The 16,178-nt window shown below is 32.7% G+C and overlaps 1 protein-coding gene across 3 annotated transcripts in view; it reads left to right on the top strand.

Moving 5' to 3' along the window:
* GABRA4 (gamma-aminobutyric acid type A receptor subunit alpha4) overlaps positions 1–13,668 on the top strand; it is a 74,682-nt gene extending 61,014 nt beyond the window's left edge. For all 3 annotated transcript variants that reach the window (NM_001204267.2, NM_001204266.2, NM_000809.4), the window contains one exon: positions 3,813–13,668. In NM_001204267.2, the coding sequence (NP_001191196.1) occupies positions 3,813–4,343 (531 nt within the window). In that variant the 3' untranslated portion in view covers positions 4,344–13,668. The remainder of the gene's footprint in view (positions 1–3,812) is intronic.

The following is a 16,178-nucleotide window of genomic DNA, read 5'->3' as shown; positions in this document are numbered from 1 at the left end:
AGTGGGCTTGTTAAACAATACTCTATTATGACATTGAAAGGACATGCTGTATTTTTTTCTGATGTCCAAGTCTTGTATAATTTTTCTTAACATTATACTACTATGAGTACTTGACTGACTCAAATATGTGCAGCTTGTTAAGTTCTTTAAAGCCTCCTCCACATTTGTGAGTAGAGAACCTCTACAGTGAGGCAGAACAGACACCAAGTAAGTAACTTGCTGTATGACTTCCAGTGACCTGTAACCTTTCTGTTCTTACTTTTCTCTACTGGAAAATGAGGTAATGGAATAAGTTGATCACTGAAATCCCTTTCTGTTTTAAAATATTGTAATTCTTATAGAGTGGGATTATGAAGGGCAAAATATGTTGGTCCTTCAGCTAGCGTGTGGATTAGGCAACAGTGCCCCCTAAAGGTCCTCTATGAGTTCTGGGCAGGCCAATCTTCTAAGTATCCCAGAATGTCTGAGGAACTTCCGCCCTCACGAGCCCTTGGCAGCACCTCCCATCAGGACCTTTGATCTAACTCATCTATCTATTATCTATTGCCACAATAATATTGCATAACAAAAAAAATGATACTTCAGGTACACACAATTAATATTTATTTTTGCTCCCAAATCTGTGGATCAACTGTGGATTCTGTTGATGTTGATTACGCTTGCTCGGGCAGCTCATTTTCTCTTAACGGAACACTCATGAATCTAGTGTCAGCTAGTTGTTGGATGTTCTAGGCTTGTCTCATTGTGATAACTGGCTATTCTCCAAATGAGCTCTCAATCTCTAGCAGGCTAGCCCAGGCTGACCTGTTCTTATGGTGGTGGTGTCAGTGTTTCCAGAAAGAGTGTAAGCAAGTAAGAACTGTTGAGGTTAAGAATTGGAAATGACAAACTATCATTTCCGCCACATACTATTGAACAAAGAAAGTCATTAGCCAGCTTAGGAAAAATAGACTCCAACTCTGGATGGGTCAGGAGTGGGTAAGCTCCTGGACATGAATGTGGAGCATGAATATGGAGGCAGGAATATAAAGAGAAATGATGAATTGGTGTCACTTTTGAAGCCAGTCTATTATATAGAACACAATTCACAAGATTTCAGGACATTCCAGAAGCATACTGGTCTAGAACGAAAGAACTTAAATGTTTTAATACTTTGTTTTGGGGGGCAGTAAAGTTACTTAGAGTCAGTTTGATCCTTCCTACTCTTGCTCTTAAAATTCATTAGACAATACCAGAGCAGTGTTTGAGGCTATTTATACTATACTATTAAGACAGGAACTTCTACGTACTCTACCAAATGCTACATGAATGTTGACATTTTCTAGTGCAGCAGGTGGAAACATGCACTATTCCTGGCTTTGGGTGAATGTCAGGTATTGTTTCTTCTAATCATTTTGGACGGTTCCTTTCAGCCTTGGGTAGTTACCTCACACCCATAAACTGATCTTTGCTTAGTAAAATACTCAATGGGGACTCTCTTTAGATCTTTGGAGTTCTCTCTTTGTTTAGCATTCTTATCTCTGGTACTTTGTCCTGTGAACTCTAGCCATCTTGGTCTCCCAAGACTCTCAACTTCATCTCTTCAGTTCAGGAAGCCTGCCAGTTTTTTTCTGTTTTTTCCTTTCCTAAACCACAGCATGGCAACTCTCTCAAGTTTGTTTCTTCCCTCTCGGTGATTATGGTTCTGTGTTGTCTAATGGCCAGTTTCTTCAAACAACAGGTTTTTTTTTTGCATTTGTTTTAAGTTTTGGGGGTCATTTTAGGCAGGAAAGTAGACTTAGTTCCTGTTACTTCATTTTGGCTGGAAGGGAAAGTCTCCAGTCCTTAGAATTTGGTATTAGGAAACATACAGATTTCTAAAGGTCATGGACAACCTAACTGACTGAAAGAAGAAGATGGTATGCAACTATCATATTATATTTGAAAAAAAAATGTATTTCTTTCCTGTTTGTCCAATTTATCATTTTACTCTCTTTTCTTCTCTTCTTGGGATATTCAGCATTTGGTCATAGTTTGGTTCTTGAATATATTTTACCTTTCATTATATTTTTTATTGTATCATGTGTGTATGTATGTTTCCTTGCCAATGATTATATATGCTCTTTAAATTTTGAGGATATACCTTGTTCTTTTTTTATGTTATTCACCATGTATATAATATTTTAGGATCAATGATAATCAGTTAATTACTATCCTTTTCTGTAACAAGAGATTCAAAATCTGAGGATTAATTAGGTGACATTTACAATGTTCTGTATAGAGGAAAACTGCAGGATAAGTAATGGTTCTTCAGCTTTCAGGTTGATGTCAATTTTGATTTCAATTTTCTCCACCCAAATTCAGTGCCATATGTTAGGCTACAATTTCTCATTAGTTCAACTGCACCCTGCTTAGAAGAATACTACAAGCTGACATGACGAATGCTTTCTACACCTGTCAGAGTCTACACTGGCTCTGTTTTGTGAGGCTGTTTTTCCTTCTCTACTCAGCGACCTTGAAGTCATGATTTATGAGATATGAATTGAACTTTAAACATGCTAGATGAGTATACTAAAAAAGAATACATTTGTAGAATAAACCTTTATGTCTAAAGTGAGATTTCAATTAATTGTATATAATCTACCCACTTCATATATTATTAGTATCTGTGAATTGCCCTTTGAGGCTGGCTTCTTCCAATCACCCTTTTATTAGCTGCTCTTCTTTCTCTTTCCTCTATTTCTCCATTTTTTCACTCACCATCTACTTCATGAAATGGTAAGGGGAGAAGTTATGGAAAGTAATGATCATCTAACATTACTATAGCTAAGAATAAGCATAGTTAGGGAGGACAAATTCCTGCAAAAATATAATAGTATATTCTAAAAACTCAGACGTGGGTATTTCAGGGAACATCTGAGAAATTACTGTCCTTCATTAGCATGGAGAATCTATAATTAATTATGTATATAGTTATTTATTGTGGCTGTCAATATTATAAGAATTTTAGTGGTTTACTGCACAACTTTCTTCAAATATAATCTTGTTCTACAAACAAAATAATTTGCTGAAAAGCAGTGAAATATTTCAATTTAATCACTCTTTATTGGTTAATGGTTTGAATTCAGATATTTATGCAACTGTTGGTTGATGCTGTTTATAAGTCTAATACAACCTTTTTCTAATTAAATTTTATTTGTATTTTCATCATTAATTGAAGTGAAAAATAAAATATGTCAGTATTATTAGATTTCATAATAATGTGTACTATTATCTATGCTTTTCATGAAAGTAAATTGAAAGGACTTAGAAATCAAAGTTTTTGGACTTTTTTAAATAAAGGAATGTTAGGTACGTATGGATAGTTGTTATTGTTGATATTCTGTGTACATGACTAGGTATAGTTCTCCCTGTTTATAAAACAAACACATAGAAAACTTTGAAATGTATATGACATATACAGAATATTATTTGCAATAAAGCTAAACAAATAACTTTTACAGCAGTATTCATTAACTCTTAAAATGCAATTAAGCATGACCTCAGCTTGTAGTTCTAACAACTTGATCTTTTTTCTATAGATTTAAGGTTTAATTATTTATAAGAATGTACCATATTTTGAAATAGAAGATTTTTGATTCAAAGTTTCAAATGTATGCACATTATATTTTAGTTATGTATTTTAAAGGTTTTTAAAATCAAGATGACTACAGCTTATTAATAAAGTTTTATTTTATGGAAATGACTAATTTTAAGAATTTTGATCCCTTTAAATTTTGTACAAATCTGCATAAAGTTACATAACCAATATATTTTTTCATATACCTTTTCAGAATACAAATGCCAATTTGAACATGAGAAAAAGAACAAATGCTTTGGTTCACTCTGAATCTGATGTTGGCAACAGAACTGAGGTGGGAAACCATTCAAGCAAATCTTCCACAGTTGTTCAAGAATCTTCTAAAGGCACACCTCGGTCTTACTTAGCTTCCAGTCCAAACCCATTCAGCCGTGCAAATGCAGCTGAAACCATATCTGCAGCAAGAGCACTTCCATCTGCTTCTCCTACTTCTATCCGAACTGGATATATGCCTCGAAAGGCTTCAGTTGGATCTGCTTCTACTCGTCACGTGTTTGGATCAAGACTGCAGAGGATAAAGACCACAGTTAATACCATAGGGGCTACTGGGAAGTTGTCAGCTACTCCTCCTCCATCGGCTCCACCACCTTCTGGATCTGGCACAAGTAAAATAGACAAATATGCCCGTATTCTCTTTCCAGTCACATTTGGGGCATTTAACATGGTTTATTGGGTTGTTTATTTATCTAAGGACACTATGGAGAAATCAGAAAGTCTAATGTAATTTCGTTGCTATAGTAGTTTGCTAAAAGATGATGAAAATGCAGAATGTCTTTTTAAATGTTTTTAAATATAAACAAATATTCTTTACTAAAATAAAAACTCTGTGTAATTTTTCCATTTAAAGATATAAGCCAGTTATTGGGAGAGTTAATTAATTCCTGAGTGAAAAAGTGAACTATGTTTTTTTTCAGAAAAATTATTTTAAAAGAACTCAGCATTCAGTTAGATAGAATACACACCATCCTGGAAAGTTGGGATAAGAGAAATAGAGCTATTAGAGACAAGTGGCGCATATTTTTTCATTGATATTTGAAAACAGACTATGACATTTTAAAAATCTGCCCTATGAGTATCAACCTGCCACCCTAAATTTCCCAGTGGCACTACCCTTAACCAGAATTGTTTATTAGATGTCATATGCAGTGACCTTTGGTGATCTTCTTAGGAACTTCAAGAAAAGGAATTTTCCTGTTAAATTAAACATTGGCAAAAGGAAATGGAATAGTATAAACACTGATCAATAGAGTAAAATATCTGCTGCATAAAAAACTAAGACAAAGACCAGAGGAAATATCTTCCCTTTCTTATGTTGGCTAAACAGTACTTAACAGTTGACTTGAAATTTTGTTCTCTGAGCCAAAGTTTAACTCATTGTATGAATTCTTTTTCATGGTAGTTCATTCAGTTATGTGTTTATTTACTACATAGTTATTCAGAGCCTACTGTGTTCCAGGAACTATGCTAGAAACTGTCTCTCTAGGAAAGCTCTTGCACCTTTATCTACAATATTACTTAAAAAGTAGAACAGTCAATGCATGCCAAAGAACCATAAACTAGCAGAGGACATTGCATTCTTTAGTGAAGGACATTTATTTAGAGTCTGACAACATATTCAAAATATTTTTCAGCCTCTACTGATAGTGGATAACAAATATATTTGTTCACATAACCACTTTGATGTCAGTACAACTTCAGCAATTGGTTTTCAAAATAGATGAGAATATGGTACAGATTGTTCTATAAGTGAAAAGCATTATGTACTTGAAAGTAAAAATCAGGGCAATATAAGACTTAATAGATTAACTGTCGCAAATTTGATCAGAGTCACAGAGTAGAATTTGATCAGAATCACAGAATCATCAGACATAGGAACTGAGCACAGGCTTTTTCAGGTGCTTTCCCCAAGATAGATCTAGATATTAGCTAGTGAAATGCTAAATTTTGAAGAGTTTTGTGTCCGTAGTTCTGTAATTCTGGGCAGTCATCATGTTGGTTTTTTTGGGAGTTTTTTTAAGGTTTAATAACTAAGGGGAATATTTTAAAATTAAGAGAGCAGCAAATGAAAGGAGTAAAGAAAAAAATAGCTGTCGGGTAGGATGCCACTGACTCTGCTATGTGATTTATCAGGGTTTTCATCTACTGACTTCTTTCTCATTAGGTAGGCTTAACAACTTACTTGAGAATTTTGCAACTGTCTATGCAGCTGAATCTAAGTATGGTTTTTTGTCATATTGCCTCTAGATTTTCTTCTGTGCTTCTCTCTATCTGCTCTGGAATGGATGAGTGAATGTGTTCTGGGTGTTTTAGGGAACATATTGATAGAAATGACCACCTTGCAGACAAAATCTCTCTCTCTCTTTTTGTTTTTATAGAAAAGAAGTGATAGTAGTTAATTGGCATCGATTTTTCAGATATTGCACTACCTTATAATGGTTGTTTTTGATACCTGAAAATTGTGCAAATGCCAAATATTAATTGTAAGTCATATCTGAGAAATCATTCTTGGCTGTCTTTCTAGGTATTCCATAGAATCAACACATTTTAAGGCTGAAAGATACTGTCGAAATCACCCAGTCCCAACCCCCCAATTTAAAATTGATTCTAGTAAAATTAGGTCCAGTAACACCTGTATATATGTATATATTTAATAAAGAGTACTTGTACAAAAAAGCTTATCATAAATTATTTCATGAATGTGAATAGATTTCTGGCCTTGAGGACGATGTTTGGAAATATGGTTGGAAGCACAATTCATTCGCTACTAGTTATTCAGAGCGTACTTTGTTCCAGGAACTATGCTGGAAACTGATAGTTCACTATTCTGATGAAAAGGCTGGTTTTGTTGTTGTTGTTGTTGTTGTTGTTGTTGTTTTTGGTGAGGAACTCTTACTCTTTGCTAATCTATTGGCCTATCTTAAGAAATAATTATTTGGTTATTCATTGGCTTCCTTTAAAAAAAAGTGTTCTTCTACAAATCTTACAGAGTGTAAAGAGATAAAAAGAAATGATTTTTTTTCTTACCTTTACATATGAAGGTTTAAAAATACATCATGTGGCCAAAGAATGAGAAAGGACAGAATTAACCAAGGATTCTTAATTGTTAATTTGAAGAACACATTAACCAGAAAGCTTAAACATTATTATTAAAATAAATTATTTCATTTGCACACAATGATAATAATGATGATAATAATAATAATAATAATAATAATAATAATAATAATAATAATATGTTGTTTGCTTTCCTTAACTGAATTTCATCAAATTCATTCAGTGATTTTTATTTTGGTCATTATTTCTATCTTCCCAATAACCCAGAGGTACATCAAGTAAAAACACTTTTGCAAAGAGCCAGTCACTTTTCCCTCTTAGAAAATCTCAGAAGAATGATTAGGGGCACCCAAAGTTCTGGTTATCTATGAATAATAATGAATAATTTTGGCTGAGAATGGTACCTTTATATAACTCTTTTAAAGATGAAATTCAGAATAATTTTATTCAGGACCTAGTATCTGCAGTCCATGTTGGCCACTAACTGCTACATAATTACTTTCAATTTCCTCCAGGCATGACTAGGTATAAACATATATTTACATGATTAATCCACATTTTAAAATGACTTGCACTTGTGCATATACATAGTACTTTGAATAATGTATATTTTAAATTGGACCTCACAAATCTTGTATTAAAGTAGGTAGAGAGTAGAGTCACACTTTTTTTGATGAAATGAGTCACAGAGAAGTTACATGACAAAGATAAAATCACAGGGTTGGAAAGAACTTTGAAAGGTCATTTTTCAATAATCTCACCTTAAAAGTGACCCCTTTTCAAACAAAGCATAAACAATTTATTTGTGGCTTATTTTACCCATGAGCTGGCCAATACTTCCTGGCCTAGAAAAATATCTCCACTCTCCCCATTCCTGTTCTTAATGGTCTTCTCTTCTCAATTTGTAAATATTCTCCAGTAAAAGACACCAGGTGTGGAGATGGGTCACTTAATTTCAAGTTCTGAGTGTCTTGTGGTTTTAAACAAGTCTCTTAACCTCTCTAAGACTGATTCCTCATTTATAACAGGGAGGAGGTGGATTATGTAATATCTAAGAGCTTTTCAGTTTTAATACTCTCTGATTCTCATAGTAAATACAAGCATACTCTTGTAAGAAAAACACTGAATACTTTGAACCACAAATAAGTGTTTATGGACAAAAATTTAGTTCTACTGCTTGATTACTTTAAGTTCATTGCTTGCTTCAAACTAAGGTTTCCCTACCTTCAAAAATATATATAACATCTCTCCATTTAGATAAAGTATATTCTTCCCCAGGGAAGACTGTATTCTTTAAAGACAGTAGAATATTGGCTATTTCTCTTTTCTGGGATTTCCTGGGCTTTTATTCACTAAATGGGCTCCTGCCCAGTTTGGGTACTGTGCTGATTTTTAGATATACAGAGATAAAAATAGCCCCTTTCCTTGCAGGTAGTCACAGTCCGGAAGAGATGATAGATGCATAGACAAAAAATTATGGGATGTAACTAATGCTTCAGTAGAATACAGCAGGGCCAAAACTAGAGTGATACTCATCTCAGGCACAAATATATATGGGGACATCAAAACTTCAATAATCAAGATACCTAATATTTAAGTGAATATTTTTAAAACTCAAAATTAATGCAAAAGATTTATGATGAACAGAATATACAAATTTTAAATAAATTAATAGAATCAGTAGTAATAATATTTTCTTCTGCCTCAGGCTCCAAAATTGCTCAGCATAGCACTGATCTAGATAGAGGTGGATAAAAGATCCACATAACTTAATTACATTGTTGAAGGAGAGGAACAAGAGTGATAGCAGAGAAGGTTTCACAGATATAATCTTAAGCTAAATTTTATAGAATGATTTGGAGTTCTTATAGCCTCCATTCCCACTTCCACAAACAAACAAAAAAATGAAAGCGCAATTTTATCAGCACCTGAGGCAGGAGAAGAGATGAGGATGTGGAAAGTCAAGGGGAACTCTTACTACAAATTCTTAGTTCTGTGTTTGGAGGTAAGGGTGAATGCAGGGAAGTGAGAGTTGTTGATGTTGGAAAGACCTAAAGAGCCTGGATTAGGAAGAGTTTTGTGTAAATTACTGAAGGAATGGAATTTGATCAGGATTAGTGGCAATTTATTAAAAATCTTGAAGAATAATACGATGAAAACTAACATCCTTATTTTTCTGTTTTAGAGAAAGCACCTGATTATTGTGTGAACTATGGTTTGGAGGGCCACAAATCTAGAGGTAGTGGAACAGTTGAGATCTCTTATTTTTTCTTTCCTGTCTTAAACTTTGCCTTCTATTCCTTTTTTCTTTTTTTGACCGCAATGACTTCATTGTCATTTGTAAAAGTGATACATGACTGTTAAAGATAGACATTGTAGAAACTTAAAAACAATCTCAAAATTCTACCACCCAGAAATCAGAAATATTTTGTATTTGGATATGTTTGTCTAGAAGAGTAGATTGCTTGATTAAAAGACAGAGTTTTATAAATGTAGAAGCCAATATGACATACATGCTGCCATTAAATAATAAAAAATTAAATTGACTTTTATCTCAAGATAAGATTAAAATTGGAGGGTAAAACTGAAGAAATTGTTGAAATTTGGATGGTGCTTCTTTAAAGCAAGAGATTTAGAGAGTCAGAGCTTTTTATCCCAGGTTTCAATCTTTATTTCAGGAAAATTTTCTGCAATTTTGTCTAAGTTAATTTTTTTTTTTTAAGAAATGCCAATTATGTCAAATCCCTTTTGTCTCTATACAATAGTCCCCAACTGTTTTGGCAACAGGCACGGGTGAGGGTGGGGGAATGGTTTTCAGATGAAATTGTTCCATCTCAGATCATCAGGCATTAGTCGATTCTCATAAGGAGCGGACAACCTTGCATGCCCTCCTATGAGAATCTAATGCCGCCGCTAATCTGACAGGAGGCAGAGCTCAGGCGATAATGCTCAATGGGTGCCACTCACCTCCTGTTGTGCTGCCCAATTCCTAACAGGTCATGGATAAGTACTGGTCAGTGGCCCAGGGGTTGGGGACCACTGCTCTGTAACTATTTACAGTATTCTTTGTAACTACTTTGGTATCTTTAAAATTTTCTTTAACTTTTGTCAACCATAACCCTAGTGAGTTTTCAGTTGTGATTATTCTATTTTGTAACTTCCAATGTACTTTTCAACTTCATAATGGTTAATTTTGTTTTCCATTGCTTTCTTGGTCACTGTCATTTCATTTTTCTTCTCTTTCTCTATTTTTACCATTGCTTTATTGAAATATCTTCTTTGAGCTTCTCATGTTTCTCTATTAATGAGATCATGTCTATAATATTTTTTGAGACTACAGAGACCTATTTATATAAACTCTTCCTCTATTTCTTGAAAAAGTTTTTATCTGGCGTGAGCTTCATCTGCTTTTTCATTGAGGTTTTATCTCCCTTGCCTATTTTTGGGGCTGGTTTCTTTCTATTAATCACTGAGCAGAGCCAGCTATTTACTGAACTACAGTGTGGGAAGTGGTGGGAGGGTGAGTCAGATCAGCCCACAGAAGCTATTTAAATTTCAGGTTTCAAGCCCACCTCCCCAAAACCGTTTTATGTGTTTTTTCTTCTGCCCAGGCACCATATTTTTATATCTATTTTTGACATTTGGGCGGCCTATGTAGTTCACAGTGTAAAACTCTCTGTTTTACTTTCTTTATGTTATTGCTAGTGATTATTGCTTGTAGTCCCACCCCCTTCCCCACATTAGCCTTAGTATTCTATATTATTCAGCAAGCTTGTTCACAACTCTCAAATATAGTCTATCAGAATTTTTATCTTTACCTCTACATTCCACTATTCGGAAGTATATAGTAAAATCGTATGAAGACAGATTTTGTCTTTTTCTTGCCTGTTTACACTCTATCTTACAGAGGTTTCAAACAAACCATCTTTGTTTGAAACATCGCAGGATAATGATACTTATTGAAATCTACATCCTGCCCAAGATATATGCCAGTCAATTTCCTTTCTCCTATTAGTGCAAATGGCTACCTACTTAAAAGCTGCTGACTATAGTTTGTCATCAATTACTTGTTAATTACAGATATGGTTTTCATTTTTTTTTCTCAATTTTTCATTATGTTATTTTTGGAGACTGTCTTAGGTGGGGAGTGAATTATAAATATTTTTATTTCACCACCTTTAACTGAGTCACCATATGTTATTTGCACTTCCAATAGACCAGGGATTGACCAGAGTATCTTTTACTGATATGACCACCAGAGCTACATGGCTTTTACCTTCTGTATATCAGATGTCACTGGAATCAAGCATTAAACCTAGATTAAATCTGGATTAAACCAGCTGTATGGCACCTTAGAAAATTGAGAAGGACTAGGAAGCTGATAGAAAGAACTCCTGTATAAAAAATAAATTCTTTTTACATTTTCCTTGGTAGTATTTCTGCAAGCTTCTTTAGTTTCTATAGGGGAATCCCAGAGTTTTCCTCTGAGATTGCTTCCCTTTCCTTTGTATTTTCATTTTTCCCTCTTGGGCTTTACTTTTCAGTCGTGTATTTCTATCCCAATGTTAATTTATTACACTGTTTATATTTTCCTGTCCTTCAATTCATCAGTAGATTAGTGAAGTACTTATTCCTTTAATTATAAGTATAAACGTTTTTAATTTCTTTTTGGATAACGATACATTTAATGGAAAATTTTTAAATGCTATGGTTTCTTAATAGCTTTTCTCTACCACTAATTACTTCCGTTAAAAAAAAAAAGAAATACCCATGCGTAATATAAAAGAAATTTTGAATAAAATGTTATCCTTTCCTTTTACTAGAGACAAACATCTCCACTTCAAAATGGAAAAATGGAACTATGCAAAGGAAATTTACGATATTCAAGAGTATGATATTATCACTGAACCGATTAATTTAATTGAAAATACTAACCTGCAAAAAAGAATTACACAAATGTATTTGAAATGTCATCAGATACCTCAAGCTATGACAGAGTTGATTATGTTACACAAGTAGTAAAGGATAAATTAAATATATTCTATATTAACACTAAGATTTAAAACTAATTATAGTCTTCTTTAATTTTTCTACTGTATACATTTCATCTAGTTTTCAGTAAAACAAACTTTTCATTACTTTTACTTATCCCATGCAAATCTAGTTGCTATAAGATATAACCTAATTTGGAAATACCTCCCTGTAATACATTGGAATTTTGGTGTGAGTGTGTGTGATCAGAGAGGATAAACAAATGGTGTCAGCAAAATAGAATGTAAAATATGGAGATAATGTGGATTTACACAATTTGATAAAAATTCTCCCTTGAATTTTGCAGATCATATATGAATATCATCATGTGAAGTGCAATTAGGATTTTTTCATATATTAATACATATACATCATCTCTTTAATAAAATATTTTGCTGAACTCGTTTAATATTTCTCATGTCTCATATTTCATATTTTCTCATATGTCTCATATTTTATATTTTCTCATATGTGTCTCATTTTTATTATTACTATAGTATCCATTAAAGGAGACTGGCAAATACCTGAACAAAGTTATGTTGTTGGCAATATAAGATATTACCAATTGCATAATATTATTTCCAAAGGCAAATTAATATGCAAACTATAGATTTCCATGGGTATCTATACAAATTATTACTTGAAGTCCATAGAAAACAGCTTCCTTAGAGGGAAGTAAAAGAAGCTCTGATAACAGACAATGTATAGCATTTCAGTTAAAGTTTGATTGACATATTTTTTTCTCAGTCTTTTATACTTGTGAATTATAGTCTACATTTTGTCTTTACAGATGTTGCTAACACAGTGCAGCATGTTGGCTTGTCATTTTACTGATTATGTATATTGTCTCCTAGTTCAAGTATACAGTAAATCAGAGCTTTCATTTTTCAAGGGGCAGAAAAATAATTGTTGGTTGATAAGGTAAGGTTATATGATTTTGAGGGAGCTTCATTGTAAATTGAATGAGAATCCGGTTTTCATGCAAAGGTGTATCTATGCGATAATACTTTGAATGTCTGTAGTTTGAAATAGAAGGTTAATTTTTTCCACTGGCTTATCCTTAATGAAGGAAATCCCCTGATAATTACTTTGATTCTGAAAATGTTGAAAACTCCAGAAGAAATAAAGCTTTTCTTTGATTTCTCAGCTGAAGTGTTGTACAAACTGAGGAATATGAAGTCCATTCCCTTCTTTCTTCTCTTGAATAATTTTAAAATTGTTTGTTTAGTTGTACAATTGAAAATATTCCTTATTATAGAAGTAAAAAAACAATAATGCATATTTCCTCATATCATAAAAACTAAATTTGTTATCATCTGAGCTTCAATATTCTTGCTCAATTAGAATAGTAAATATAAAGTGTGATATTTATAACAGTTCAAGGTTTGATAGGAGATAGAGGTGTTTTGATTTTATGGGAAAATTACTTCCTCAAGAACACATTTCTTGAGGTTTTAGTAATCACATTTGACTCCCTGAAATTGGCAATTTTATTCAATGTAGGAATATTATCATGGTATATTATAGTGAGGAGCACATAGTCATTATTATTTTGTTTTTGCAAATTTATTTTGAAAAAAAGGAGCATTATCAAATATTGGTTTACTATTTTAAAGTAATTCATCAGGAAATGATTTTTTAAACACTGTCCCTTTAAGTAAATGTCCCTTGCTTTTCAAAGCTCAACTTATTACTTATGGTAATAGAGTTACTTTGCTTCTTAAAACAAAGTTTATACTAGAGCATAGCATTGTAGAATTATTCAGGTCTCAATTTCTCACTGGAAAATGAGTCTTTAAAATAGTAAGGATTTAAATTTCTATAAAATTTAATCACAGATACTTATATTTTAAGATAAATGTGTTGGAGCTAAACTCTGGAATTATTAAAATATAAAACATTATATCCCTCTAATGTATTTTTTCTATTTAAATTTAAAACAATAAACATAAATATCTTTGGAATATTTTTTGGTTTGTGTATTGTTTTTTCTGTCTATAAATATCCTTCCTTGAAACTGGTCACAGCATTGTGTCTTACTTGATAGTTCTTTGGAATCCCCACTGCTATCATGAATGTTCCTGGTTTTTACTTAACATCTAATTCTCTGTATGACCAATACCACCATCAAGATTGGAATTTTGCCAAGTTTTAATAGTTTGAAAAATTCTTTGTAGGTTACATGGATGAAGAAAAGTTACAGGACCTGTAATATCTGATGTGGCATAATAGAAACTTTTCACTATGTGGTTTTGGTTCACTAATGGGGTTCAAATGTGTGTATTTCTGTGTATTTTTTAAAGATTCAACCCAAGGAAGAGAGCTAAAATTAATAAAATACAGCAATCAATCTATGACTTAATCCTAACTTGGAAGACCAAAGTAAATGTCTGAGAAACTGAATAGGATTAACATTTAATAAAAACATGTGAGTTTATAAATTTTAATATTTAGCTTAGATTATTAACTGTAATTAGTTTGATGAAATAAAACACTTTGAATACTGTGACTGTCTTTTATAAAGTTTTTTTACATCATATAATGTACTATGAAACATTCTAAATGTAGTATTCCAAATCACCTCTTTCTTGAAGAAAAAAATGTAGGTTTTTGATTATAGCTTTTAAAGAAGAGAATGTTCCTGAGAGGAAAAAGTTGACCACAGATGTTCACAACACACACACAACATATTCCTATATGAACACAGACTAACAAAACACATAATACACACAGAATTCTTCTTTTGTTCACTTGTTGTATGACATATTATTTGGGCTAAGTCCACTTCAAATTTATGGTACTTGGTCACTTAAATATGATTTTATACTCTAGTAAGAAAAATTATATTTAAAATGTAATATTTAAAATGTACAGCTCTTTTTATTTATTGTGTAGTGATTTGTGTTATATAAATTTGTGTGTGTTTTTATATACACAATATTTATACACACATATATATGTATGACTGTACATACACACACACACAGACACACACGTTTCTGAAACTCTCATTGATTGCCAGATTCTGTTTCCAGTTGAGTTGAATACTATTTAGAACGTGCTTGCCTCTTATATTCAATGTTGATAAGACAGAATTATAGTCAATTTAGAAGAAGGTGGAAGTCAAAATCAAAGAAACAAAATTTTCCACAAACACAAGCATAAATAGAGATGTAGGGGAAATAAATTAATGGAATACTTGGAGGTATGATAACTTTTAAAACTGGATTAAATCAATGGCATACATTATACTAGTTTCATTTGTTTTAATCTTTGATGAAGAATTTCTATATAGCTCATTTTCTGGAGAAGTGTAGTTGTCCAAGGTCAATTTTCTTTCTGATTAATTGGAAGCCGAAGCTCAATGCTGGTCTCTTGGTTATGAAAATAAACTCTCGGGTGGTTCAGTAATTGTCTACTTGTTTACAATGTTACCTAATCTGCATTATTATCCTCTGTGCATTTTGAGAATTACTCTCTTTTACAAGAAAAATTATATGAATTCCTGCTATGTTATTCCAGCATGTTTTGCTGATGTCAACTATGCATTCATCATGTGAATTGTTAAATGCTATCCCTCTCATTTTGTTCTGAAAAACGTAAAATAACGTCATCTATTTAAGATTAGTTTGGATTATGCTCACCTTTGAAAACTCTTCAGGGTAACATTCATCAACCGAGCATTCTAGGCAAATGGATTCATGAATCTGTATCATTAGCATTAAGATAAATGCTAATCAGTGGCGTCATTTTTTAAGTAAGGCCCATATTTCTGCTTGTGTAATAATATTATTGTCAAGATGCCCCATGTACATTTATCAGTTGAAAACTGAACATACTGATACATGTGTATGCTGAGCAGAGGGATATACCTCAATTGATATGTTACTCTGACATACTGATAGCATTTCCATTTTTTCCATGACTTTAGTTTCCTGCATTTTGCCTACTCTTAACTTGGTGTAAATGTAATACTGTTTGGTACCAAAACTCCTTCCCTCATAGTTTGTAGTGTTTCTAGCAGGGCCACAGAGAGAAGAGAACAAAAATCCCCCTCTCTTCTGCATGGAAAATGGAAAATGGAAAAGATGAGGGCATATTTCTATTTTTGAGTATTTTCAAGTGCATAGTTCTCTAAACACTACATCATATAATAAATAATACTCCTCTATAAATGAGAACAATCTATTTTTCACTCATAAGTAAGACTAGGTCTAATGCTTATTTTAGCACAAAAAAGCAAATGTCAGGGGTTGGGGGAAGCTATTGCTGTTTATTTTGGAAAAGATTACATTGTAAATAGAATTATACCTTCTGGCCATGCGAAGAATAAACCATACATAGAATTGAAAATGCCCTTTAGAGACTGTGCTAACTGAATTATTCAAATATCTCTCCAAGAGCAGATCTAAAATGCTGGCATTCATCATAAAGGTTGAGTGATATGTAATTTATTTTCCATTAGACAATTACT

Source organism: Homo sapiens, chromosome 4 (assembly GCF_000001405.40).
Source record: "Homo sapiens chromosome 4, GRCh38.p14 Primary Assembly".
Lineage (NCBI taxonomy): Eukaryota > Metazoa > Chordata > Mammalia > Primates > Hominidae > Homo > Homo sapiens.
Note: the sequence above shows the minus strand (reverse complement) of the source record. Positions and strands in the feature narration are given on the sequence as shown.